Source organism: Homo sapiens, chromosome 17 (genome assembly GCF_000001405.40).
Source record: "Homo sapiens chromosome 17, GRCh38.p14 Primary Assembly".
Lineage (NCBI taxonomy): Eukaryota > Metazoa > Chordata > Mammalia > Primates > Hominidae > Homo > Homo sapiens.
In genome coordinates, this window is record NC_000017.11 from 45175197 (window position 1) to 45187970 (window position 12774).

Genomic DNA, 12774 nt, shown 5'->3' on the forward strand with positions numbered 1-12774 from the left:
CAAAACATTCAGGTGTGTTGGTGCACATCTGTAGTCCCAGCTACTCAGGAAGCTGAGGTGGAAGGATTGCTTAAACCCAGAAGGTCAAGGATGCAGTGAGCTGTGATTGCGTCACTGCACTCCATCCTGGGTGACAGTGAGACCTTGCCTCAAAAAAAAAAAAAAAAAAAAAAAAGGCTGGGCTCAGTGGCTCATGTCTGTAATCCCAGCACTTTGGGAGGCCGAGGCGGGTGGATCGTGAGGTCAGGGGATGGAGATCATCCTGTCCAATGTGGTGAAACCCTGTCTCCACTAAAAATACAAAAAATTAGCTGGGTGTGGGTGGCGCGCGCCTGTAGTCCCAGCTACTCAGGAGGCTGAGGCAGGAGAATCGCTTGAACCCAGGCGGTGGAGGTTGCAGTGAGCCAAGATCGCGCCACTGCCCTCCAGCCTGGCGACAGAGCAAGACTCCGTCTCAAAAAAAAACAAAAACAAAAACGTGAACAACCCAGTGGCATTTAGTACATATTCATGATGTGTGCAACTGCCACTTCTAGTTTCAAACATTATCACTCCAAAAGGAAACCCTGTACCCATTAAGCATTTACTCCCCATTCCGTCCTTCCCTAGTCTGGCAGCCACCAATCTGCTTTTTGTTTCTATGGGTTTACTCATTCTGGATATTCTGGTGGTAGAGCCACGAGGGGAAAACTCTCTGGTCTCTTGGTGTCTGTACCTGAAACACACAGACTCCCCGAGGGTGCTGCTGTAGAGGGAGCACTGGACCAGGAGTCCTGAGCCCTGTGATCCATCCCAGTTCTTCTTCTCACTCAGGGGCTCTTTTTCTTCATTTGTTCAAAGGGTTGGGAGGTGGCCTCAGGCCAGTTTAGGATCCTGCATCCTCCAGGACCCATCCCTGGCCAGGGGGCTTCTACCTGGAACAATGCTGCCTGGCCAACCACCCCGTTGATCTCCTGCCTCCTCCCTGTGAGTCCAGGCAGTGAAGGTGGAGCCAGGGGACAGTGTGATTAATACTGTGGGGTTTAGGGTAAGACACAGGAGATGAAGAAACTTGAGCTCAGAGAGGTTGAGAAACTTGCCCAAGGCCACACAATTCCTGCCATACTGGAGCCTTAGCCGGTTCTCTGATTGTAGTTTGAGCCCTTGACCACCTTAGTCTCCTATCTTCAAAGAGATAAAGTAAATTAAAGGCTTAGCCAAGTGCCAGCTGTGTGGGAGGTGTGCTCAGATGGAAGCAGCCATACATTTTACGACTTCCAGGACATTGTGTAATCATGAGTAGCTCTATTACAAGGTGGTTCTTGGGAGTTCTCACTGTCTCCCTCCCTTAACTTTTTTCTTTTTTCTTTTTTTTTTTTTTCTTGAGACAGAGTCTCGCTCTGTTGCCAGGCTGGAGTGCAGTGGCGCGATCTTGGCTCACTGCAACCTCCTACTCCCTGCTACTCCCTGGTTCAAGCAATTCTCCTGCCTTGGCCTCCCGAGTAGCTGAGATTACAGGCACAGGCCACCACGCCCAGCTAATTTTTGTATTTTTAGTAGAGATGGGGTTTCACCGTGTTGGCCAGGATGATCTCGATCATGAGCCACCGCTCCCGGCCCTCCCTCCCTTAACTTTGGGAGCAGGTTTCCTCTCTGCCCTCTCTACCAGCCTCTCTAGGAAGACAGCTTTTTCTTTCTTTCTTTCTTTCTTTCTTTCTTTCTTTCTTTCTTTCTTTCTTTCTTTCTTTCTTTCTTTCTTTCTTTCTTTCTTTTCTTTCTTTCTTTCTTTTTTTTTTTTTTTGAGATGGAGTCTCGCTGTGTCACCCAGGCTGGAGTGCAGTGGTGCAATCTCGGCTCACCGCAACCTCTGCCTCCCAGGTTCACTCCATTCTCCTGCCTTGGCCTCCCAAGTAGCTGGAACCACAGGCACCCGCCACCAGGCCTGGCTAATTTTTTGTATTTTTAATAGAGATGGGGTTTCACCATGTTAGCCAGGATGATCTCGATCTCCTGACCTCGTGATCCACCTGCCTCAGCCTCCCAAAGTGCTGGGATTACAGGCATGAGCCACCACGCCTGGCCTTTTTTTTTTTTTTTAATTGAGACAGAGTCTCGCTCTGTTGCCCACGCTGGAGTGCAGTGGCATGATCTCGACTCACTGCAATTTCTGCCTCCTGGGTTCAAGCAATTCTCCTGTCTCAGTCTCCTGAGTAGCTGGGACTACAGGCGCCCGCCACCACGCCTGGCTAATTTTTGTATTTTTAGTAGAAACGGGTTTTTACCTTGTTGGTCAGGCTGGTCTTGAACTCCTGACCTCAGGTGATCCACCGGCCTCGGCCTCCCAAAGTGCTGGGATTACAGGCGTGAGCCACTGCGCCAGGCTGAGGACAGCCTTCGTGGGGGCTGGGAGGGGGCCCTGGACCCCGAGCCCTTCAGGCAAGTGGATGTGTGGGAAGCATTGTTTTTCTTCCCCCTCAAATAAGGAGATTTTATTGTTCCTCCCCGCATCCCTTCAAACTGTATTTATCCATATTTTCATGGCTGAACCTCCACCCTTGCCCCTCAAAGAGGAAGTCTTTTGTGGAGCCAGAGAAAGGAGGGGACTGCTCAGGCCTGGCCTGTCAGGGGGACAGGCTGCACAGCTGACACCCAGTTGGCCACTGTGTCCCGGCGGCTTGTGAGCATGGACATTCCAGAGACCACCTGCCCCAGAAGCCCCCTCTAGACCCCGTTTAAGATGGAAAACCCCAGACGAGCCCTCAAGGCACCTGCTGTGTCCTGCCTCAGGGCATCCATGACAGGTCCCTCTCCTTACCTGATGCCTCAGGAGGATGTGCTCAAGGAGACTAAGTCATGAGATGGACATTGTGACCCACGTGAGCCTCAGTCAGCCATGTGGTGACTGCTTTGCCACAGTTTGAGGACCTGGACAGGCTCCCTCGTGGCCCGTACCTTGAGCCGAGCCCTGTGGCTGCCGGGCTGGCAAGTTCCCAGCCTGAGGACCACGAAGTCCCCAGGCCCCACATCCTTAAGGGCTTGACCTCCATGCCTTTGCTTCTCAGCACCAGCCAGCTGTTTCCCTCTTGAGCCTCTGAGAAAGAGGATCTTTTTTCTCTGGGCCCCTGGTCCCACTGTCCTCACTTGTAATTCACATTAGTTGTGTTTGTTGCCACAGGTCTATACCCTTCCTCCCAGGCTCTCTCCTGAACAACCCTGGCTTCCCTGGCCTCCCCAGGCAGCAATCCCCTGCTCCCTCTCCTCCCCTCTTTCCCTGAGCTCCAGATTCTAGCAGATTTTAAAAATTATTGTTGTAGGCCGGGCGCGGTGGCTCACGCCTGTAATCCCAGCACTTTGGGAGGCTGAGGCAGGCAGATCACGATGTCAGGAGATCGAGACCATCCTGGCTAACATGGTGAAACCCGTCTCCACTAAAAATACAAAAAAAAAAAAAATTAGCCGGGTGTGGTGGCGGGCGCCTGTAGTCCCAGCTACTCAGGAGGCTGAGGCAGGAGAGTGGTGTGAACCCAGGAGGCGGAGGTTGCAGTGAGCCGAGATTGCACCACTGCACTTCAGCCTGGGCAACAGAGTGAGACTCCATCTCAAAAAAAAAAAAAAAAATTGTTGTAGGCTGGGCATGGTGGCTCATGCCTGTAATCCCAGCACTTTGGGAGGCTGAGGCAGGTGGATCACGAGGTCAGGAGTTTGAGACCAGCCTGGCCAAGATGGTGAAACCCCGTCTCTACTAAAAATACAAGAATTAGCTGGGCGTGGTGTCAGGCGCCTGTAATCCCAGCTACGCAGGAGGCTGAGGCAGGAGGCTTGAACCCAGGAGTTGGAGGTTGCAGTGAGTTGAGATGGCACCACTGCACTCCAGACTGGGCAACAGAGCTAGACTCTCTCTCTCTCTGTCTCTCTCTCTCTCACACACACACACACACACACACACAAAATTATTGTTGTAGTCTTAATTTTTCCAAATGGCTATACAGGCCGGGCATGGTGGCTCACACCTGTAATTCCAGCACTTTGAGAGGCCGAGGCAGAGGGATCGCTTGAGGTCAGGAGTTCTAGACTAGCTTGGGCAACACAAGGAGATCCCATCTCTACTAAAAGTAAAAAACAAACAAAAACAAATGGACTGGGCACAGTGGCTCACACCTATAAGCCCAGCACTTTGGGAGGACGAGGCAGGTGGATCACTTGAGGTTAGGAGTTTGAGCCCAGCCTGGCCAACATGGTGAAAGCCCATCTCTACTAAAAATACAAAAATTATCCGGGTGTGGTGGTGCACACCTGGAGGCTGAGGTGGGAGGATCACTTGAACCCAGGAGGTTGAGGCTGCAGTGAGCTGTGATCGCGGCACTGCACTCTAGCCTGGGTGACAGAGTGAGACCCTGTCTCAAAAAAAAAAAAAAGATTAGATGGGTGGACAGATAGATGTGCAGATATAGACACAGATATAGATGTGTTGGAAAGAGACATGCGAGATACTCATAGACGTTAGCTAATTCAACATCCTAGCTTTAGGCTGGATTAAATATCTGCCTAAATCTATGACTCTCTCTTTTATTTTTCTTTTATTGTTAGAAATATACATTATATATACATTACATAAAATTTGCCATTTTAACCATTTTATTAATATATATTTTTTGAGACAGTCTTGCTCTATCGCCCAGGCTAGAGTGCAATGGCACGATTTTGGCTCACTGCAACCTCCACCTCCCCGGTTCAAGCAATTCTCTCACCTCCGACTCCCAAATAGGTGGGACTACAGGCATGCACCACCATGCCCGGCTAATGTTTCACCGTGTTGGCCAGGCTGGTCTCAAACTCCTGACCTCAAGTGATCTGCCCACCTTGGCCTTCCAAACTGTTAGGATTGCAGGCGTGAGCCACCGCTCTCAGCCCATTTTAATCGTTTTTGTTTGTTTGTTTTTTGACACAGAGTCTCACTCTGTCGCCCAGGCTGGAGTGCAGTGGCGTGATCTCGGCTCACTGCAAACTTCACCCCCCGGGTTCAAGCCATTCTCCTGTCTCAGCCTCCCGAGTAGCTGGGACTACAGGCGCCCGCCACCACGCCCAGCTAATTTTTTGTGTTTTTAGTAGAGACGGGGTTTCACCGTGTTAGCCAGGATGGTCTCGATCTCCTGACCTCGTGATCCGCCCGCCTTGGCCTCCCAAAGTGCTGGGATTACAGGCGTGAGCCACCGCGCCCAGCCAGTCATTTTCAAGTGTACAATTCACCCCGGGCATGGTGGCTCACGCCTGTAAATCCCAGCACTTTGGGAGGCCAAGGTGGGTGGATCACGAGGTCAGGAGATCGAGACCATCCTGGCTAACACGGTGAAACCCCGTCTCAAAAAAAAATTAAAAAATGAAGTGTACAATTCAGTGGCATTAAATACATTCAAATTGTTCTGTAACCTCGCCATCATCCATCTCTCTTCATCTTCTCAACTAAGACTCTATACACATTAAACAATAACTCATCATTTCCCACGTTCTTCTAGCCCCTGAATACCACCATTCTACTTTTCCATTTTTAAAAATTATTTATTATTATTATTATTATTTGAGATGGAGTCTCGCTCGGTCACCCAGGCTGGAGTGCAGTGGCACGATCTCAGCTCACTGCAACCTCTGCCTCCCGGGTTCAAGCAATTTGTCTGCTTCTCAGCCTCCTGAGTAGCTGGGGCTAGATGCTCGTGCCACTACGCCTGGCTAATTTTTGTATTTTTAGTAAAGACGGGCTTTCACCATGCTGACCAGGCTGGTCTTGAACTCTTGACCTCAGGTGATCTACCCGCCTCAGCTTCCCACAGTGTTGGGATTACAGGCGTGAGTACAATTCACCCCGGGCATGGTGGCTCACGCCTGTAAATCCCAGCACTTTGGGAGGCCAAGGTGGGTGGATCACGAGGTCAGGAGATCGAGACCATCCTGGCTAACACGGTGAAACCCCGTCTCTACTAAAAATACAAAAAATTAGCTGGGCGTGGTGGCGGGCGCCTGTAGTCCCAGCTACTCGGGAGGCTGAGGCAGGAGAATGGCCTGAACCCGGGAGGCGGAGCTTGCAGTGAGCAGAGATCGCGCCACTGTACTCCAACCTGGGTGACAGAGCGAGACTCCGTCTCAAAAAAAAATTAAAAAATGAAGTGTACAATTCAGTGGCATTAAATACATTCAAATTGTTCTGTAACCTCGCCATCATCCATCTCTCTTCATCTTCTCAACTAAGACTCTATACACATTAAACAATAACTCATCATTTCCCACGTTCTTCTAGCCCCTGAATACCACCATTCTACTTTTCCATTTTTAAAAATTATTTATTATTATTATTATTATTTGAGATGGAGTCTCGCTCGGTCACCCAGGCTGGAGTGCAGTGGCACGATCTCAGCTCACTGCAACCTCTGCCTCCCGGGTTCAAGCAATTTGTCTGCTTCTCAGCCTCCTGAGTAGCTGGGGCTAGATGCTCGTGCCACTACGCCTGGCTAATTTTTGTATTTTTAGTAAAGACGGGCTTTCACCATGCTGACCAGGCTGGTCTTGAACTCTTGACCTCAGGTGATCTACCCGCCTCAGCTTCCCACAGTGTTGGGATTACAGGCGTGAGCCACTGCATCCAGCCTATTTAATTTTTTAAACTCCTATCTGTACCAGACCTTCTACTTTTTTGGAAGCCTTTCCCTATGACTGCCTTCCTGCTGCTTTCCATCTTGCCAGAGTCCAGCTTCCCTCCCTTTGCAGAACTCCTATGTTCAAGAAATCATTGCTTCTCAATGTTACTTCCCACTGGAATTACCTGAGAAAGTTTTCACAGTTCCAGTGCCTGGGTTCCATGCCCAGAATTTCTTTTTTTTTCTTTTTCTTTCTTTCTTTCTTTTTTTTTTTTTTTGAGATGGAGTCTCGCTCTGTCTCCCAGGCTGGAGTGCAGTGGCGTGATCTTGGCTCACTGCAAGCTCCACCTCCCGGGTTCATGCCATTCTCCTGCCTCAGCCTCCTGAGTAGCTGGGACTACAGGCGCCCGCCACCACGCCTGGGTAATTTTTTATATTTTTAGTAGAGACGGGGTTTCACCATGTTGGCCAGGCTGGTTTCCAACTCCTGACCTCAAGTGATCTGCCCACCTCGGCCTCCCAAAGTCTTGGGATTACAGGCATGAGCCACCGCACCCGGCCCAGAATTTCTGATTTAATTGTTCTGGGATTTTTGAGGCTCCCTGGGGGATGCTCAGGTACACCCAGGGCTGAGAACCAGAGTTCAGAGAGCTGCAGAGGTTTTCTCTGCCCGGCTTGCCCTGACCAGGAGTCCCAAGTGTGGAGTGCCTTGCACCTGCCCACATCCCTAGGAGGATTCCAAGATGGCACGACCTCCAGGGTTTAGATACCAGGCAGGGGAGCTTTAGAGGGCCGACCAGGAAATGGGCAGAGCTCAAGTTAAAGGGAAGGAGGAATTTCCACCACTCAGCTAGGGGTCAGGCTGTCCCCAGAGACTCCTGGCTCCCATCAGTGGATGTGCCAGGGTGCCTGTGAAAGGGCAGGAGGTCAGACCAGAAAACATGCCAAGTGCTCCTCCAGCAATCAGATTCTGAAATTCTGCCTAGCAAGGAACTGTTGCTTTTTTGCCACAACAGCACAACGCCCTGCACCGGGGTGTGTGTGCATGTGTGTGTGTGTGTGTGTGTGTGTGTGTGTGTGTGTGTGTGTGCACGCGCGTGATGACTTCTGTCCTATCCAGGCGAGGGGGCCTCCGCACTGGGGTTTACTCCAGGCCTCCTGCTGGTGGCACACATGGGGGCAAGTGCTGTGTATGAGCTCCCCGGAAGTTTCAGAATCAAATGCTATCCTTGCTTCCTCCTTAGTATCTTCTTGATTATCCCAGCCCCATTTCTTCTGCTTCACTCAGAGCAGAGGTGGGGAAGAAGGAGGCCACTTGGAGGCCAGGACAGGGAGGGTTCTCTAGAGCCAGCTGAGTTACTCTGAGGTCTTGGCAAGTGCAGAGATTGAGAGCACAGACTGGTGTTGGACAGCCCAGGTTCAAATCCTGACTTTGGCCAGGTGCAGTGGCTCATGCCTGTAATTCCAGCACTCTGGGAGGCTGAGGCAGGTGGATCACTTGAGATCAGGAGTTTGAGATCAGCCTGGCCAATATGGTGAAACCTCATCTCTACTAAAAATACAAAAATTGGCCAGGCATGGTGGTGCACGCCTGTAATCTCAGCTACTTGAGAGACTGAGGCAGGAGAATCACTTGAACCTGGGAGGTGGAGGTTGCAGTGAGCTGAGATCATGCCATTGCACTCCAGCCTGGACAGCAAAGCGAGACTCCATCTCAAAAAAAAAAGTCCTGGCCGGGCACGGTGGCTCATGCCTGTAATCCCAGCACTTTGGGAGGCCGAGGCGGGCATATCACAAGGTCAGGAGATCGAGACCATCCTCGCTAACACGGTAAAACCCCATCTCTACTAAAAATACAAAAAAATTAGCCGGGCATGGTGGTGGGTGCCTGTAGTCCCAGCTACTCAGGAGGCTGAGGAAGGAGAATCACTTGAACTGGGGAGGCAGAGGCTGCAGTGAGCTGAGATTGCACCACTGCACTCCAGCCTGGGCCACAGAGCGAGACTCCATCTCAAAAAAAAAAAAAAAAAAAAAGAAGGTCCTGCCTTACCTGGCTCACTGCCACTCTGTACCCTCTGCAGAGCAGGCCAGGCACCTTTCCATTGTCCTGCCTGGACACACACATCCCTCTCTCCTGGTGAAAAGATGCCATGACTCATCAGGAACACAAGCAGCACCATTTGTTCATTCAACAGATATTGACTGGGTGTATTTGTTTCCTAAGTTGCTATAATAAAGTACCCCCGAGTGGTTTAGAACAATGGAAGTGTATTGTTTCAGTTTTGGAGGACAGAAGTCTTAAGGTGTTGGTAGGGCCACACTTTCTTTAAAACCAGTGGGAGAAAGATCCTTCCTTGCCTCTTTATTTACTTTTATGTATAGAGACAGGATATTGCTATAATGCCCAGGCTGGTCTCAAACTCCTGGCCCCCAGTAATCCTCCCACCTTGGCTTGTCAAAGAGCTGGGATTACAGGCATGAGCCACCGCACCTGGCCTTCCTTGCCTATTTTTAGCTTCTAGTGGTTTGCTGGCAATCTTTGGCATTCCTTGACTTGTAAATGCATGGCTTCAATTCCTTGTTTTCACATGTCCATCTTCCCTCTATGCATGTGTGTCTCTGTGTCCAAATTTTCCCTTTTTTTTTGAGATGGAGTTTCACTCTTGTCGCTCAGGATGGAGTGCAATGGCACAATCTCAGCTCATCGCAACCTCTGACTCCCGGGTTCAAGCGATTCTCCTACCTCAGCCTCCTGAGTAGCTGGAATTACAGGCATGCGCCACCATGCCCGGCTAATTTTTTGTATTTTTAGTAGAGACAGGGTTTCTCCATGTTGGTCAGGCTGGTCTTGAACTCCCAACCTCAGGTGATTAGCCCACCTCGGCCTCCCAAACTGCTGGGATTACAGGCGTAAGCCACCGCGCCCGGACTAAATTTCTCCTTTTTATAGAGACACCAGTCATTAGGGCCCACCCTAATAACCTCATTTTAACTTGATTACCTCTGTAAAGACTGTTTCCACATAAGGTTGCATTCAAAGATACTAGGAGTTGGGACTTTAACATATCTTTTTTGTCTGGGGTGTGTAATTCAATTCATAGCACTGGGTATCCACGCTGTGCATGCTGGGGATATCCCAGTGAGCTCGATGGACACAGTCACTACCCTTATGGAGCTTACACTCTCTTCTGATCTTTTCATATGAAGTTTTCTTTTTTGAGACAGGGTCTCACTCTGTCACCTAGGCTGGAGTGCAGTGGTGTGATCAGCTCACTGCAGCCTCGATTTTCTGGGCTCCAGCAATCCTCCCATCTCAGCCTCCTGAGTAGCTGGGACCACAAGCATGCGCCATGACACCTGGCTCATTTTTGTATTTTTGGTAGAGGCAGGGTTTCACCATGTTGCCCAGGCTGGAAGTTTTATTTATTTATTTTATTTGTTTTATTTTAATTAATTAATTTATTTATTATTATTATTTTTTTTTTTGAGACAGCGTTTCACTCTTGTCTCCCAGGCTGGAGTGCAATGGCATGATCTCAGCTCACTACAACCTCCACCTCCTGGGTTCAAGTGATTCTCCTGCCTCAGCCTCCCCAGTAGGTAGGATTACAGGCACACACCATCACACCCAGCTAATTTTTGTATTTTTAGTAGAGACAGGGTTTCACCATGTTGACCAGGCTGGTCTCAAACTCCTGACCTCAGGTGATCCTACCGCCTTGGCCTCCCAAAGTGCTTTACAGATGTGAGCCACCATGCCTGGCCAGTAGTTTTATTTTTAAACAATAACTCTCATTTACGAAGCACTTTGTAATATTCAAAGTGCTTTCATTAATATGAGTTTATTTTTTATTTTTTATTATTATTTTTTGAGACGGAGTCTCATTCTGTCTCCCAGGTGAGTGCAGTGGCGCCATCTCGGCTCACTGCAACCTTCACCTCCCGGGTTCAAGCGATTCTCCTGCCTCAGCCTCCTGAGTAGCTGGGAATACAGGTGCGTGCCACAACGCCCAGCTAATTTTTTGTATTTTTAGTAGAGACGGGGTTTCACCGTGTTAGCCAGGTTGGTCTTGATCTCCTGACCTCCTGATCCGCCCACCTTGGCCTCCCAAAGTGCTGGGATTACAGGCATCAGCCACCACGCCCGGCCATATGAGTTTATTTGGGTGATATGGTGAGATCCATTTCCCGAGTGGGAAGACTGTCTTTTGGAGATCTGAAATTACTTGTTTAGGGTCATGTGACTTATAAGTAATAATACAAGTGATAACAATATCCAGCACTTGCTCAATGCCAACCATTGTGATATGGCTTGAATGTCCCCTCCAAAACTAGTGTTAGGATTTAATTACCATTGCGACAATTTTTTTTTTTTTAGATAGAGTTTTGCTCTTGTCACCCAGGCTGGAGTGCAATGCCACAATCTCAGCTCATGGCAACCTCCGCCTCCCGGGTTCAAGCAATTCTCCTGTCTCAGCCTTCCAAGTAGCTGAAATTACAGGCATATACCAACACGCACAGCTAATTTTTGTATTTTTAGTGGAGATGGGGTTTCACCACGTTGGTCAGGCTGGTCTGGAACTCCTGACCTCAGGTGATCTGCCCGCCTTGGCCTCCCAAAGTGCTGGGATTACAGGCGTGAGCCACCATGCCTGGCCCATTGTGACAACATTAAGAAGTGAGACATTTGGCCAGGCGTGGTGGCTCATGCCTGTAATCCCAGCATTTTGGAAGGCCGAGGCGGGCGGATCATGAGGTCTGGAGTTGGAGACCATCCTGGCCAACATGGTGAAACCCCTTCTCTACTAAAAATACAAAAAATGAGCCTGGCGTGGTGGCACGTGCCTGTAGTCCCACCTACTCAGGAGGCTGAGGCAGGAGAATTGCTTGAACCCAGGAGGCAGAGATTGCAGTGAGCGCAGATTGCACTGCTGCACTCCAGCCTGGCGCCAGAGAGACTCTGTCTCCAGAAAAAAAAAAGAAGTGAGACGTTTAAGAGGGGATTAGGTCATGAGGGCTCTGCCCTCGTGAATGGATCAATGCCGTTATCGAGGAAGTGTGTTAGTTGTGGGATTGGGTCCTGATAAAAGGATAAGTTTGGCAGATTTCCTTTCTCTGTCTTGCATACTTCCACCATGTCATGCCTTCTGTCATGTCATGATGCAGCAAGGAGGCCCTCACCAGACAGGACCCCTTGATCTTGGACTTCTTGCCCTCCAGAACCATAAGCCAAATAAATCTCTTTTTTTTTTAAATAAATTACCCAGTCAGTAGTTCATCTTATATGATCCCCATAAACATTTTGCAGGATAAAGAAATTGAAGTAAGGTGTCCAAAGTCACATCGTTAATAAGAGGTCACATCCGGGCTGGGTGTGGCGGCTCATACTTGTAATCTTAGCACTTTGGGAGGCTGAGGTGGGAGAATCACTTGAGTTCTGGAGTTGGAGACTAGCCTGAGCAACATAGTGAGACCTCGTCTCTAAAAAAAAAAAAAAAAAAAAAAAGTCACACCAGGAGTTGAGCCCAGGCAGCCCAGCTGCAGCATCCAGCTCAGCCACCCCACGTTGCTCATTACATCAAGACACAGCCTCGGCTGGGCGCGGTGGCTCACGCCTGTAATCCCAGCACTGTGGGAGGCCGAGGCAGGTGGATCACAAGGTCAGGAGTTTGAGACTAGCCTGGCCAATATGGTGAAACCCCGTTTCTACTAAAAATACAAAAATTAGCCAGGCGTGGTGGTGGGAACCTGTAGTCCCAGCTACTTGGGAGGCTGAGGCAGGAGAATTGCTGGAACTGGGGAGGTGGAGGTTGCAGTGAGCCGAGATTGCACCGCTGCACTCCAGCCTGGGCGACAGAGCGAGACTACGTCTCAAAAAAAAAAAAAAAAAAAAAAGACACAGACTCATGTCTCTGTTGCTGCCCTCTGCTCTACACCAGCACGTCAAAACTTAGTGTTCCCTCCATGCCTAGCAGAGAGCCACCTCTTTGCTCTTCCTTATCAACTGCATTAACTGCTACCTTCCATCTTCCTTTTTTCTTCTATCTTCCCTTTATTTTTTCGTAGAGATGTGGTCTTCCTATGTTGCCCAGGCTGATCTCAAACTTCTGGCCTCAATCGATTCTCCTGCCTTGGCTTCCCAAGGTGCTGAGATTACAGGTGTGAGCTG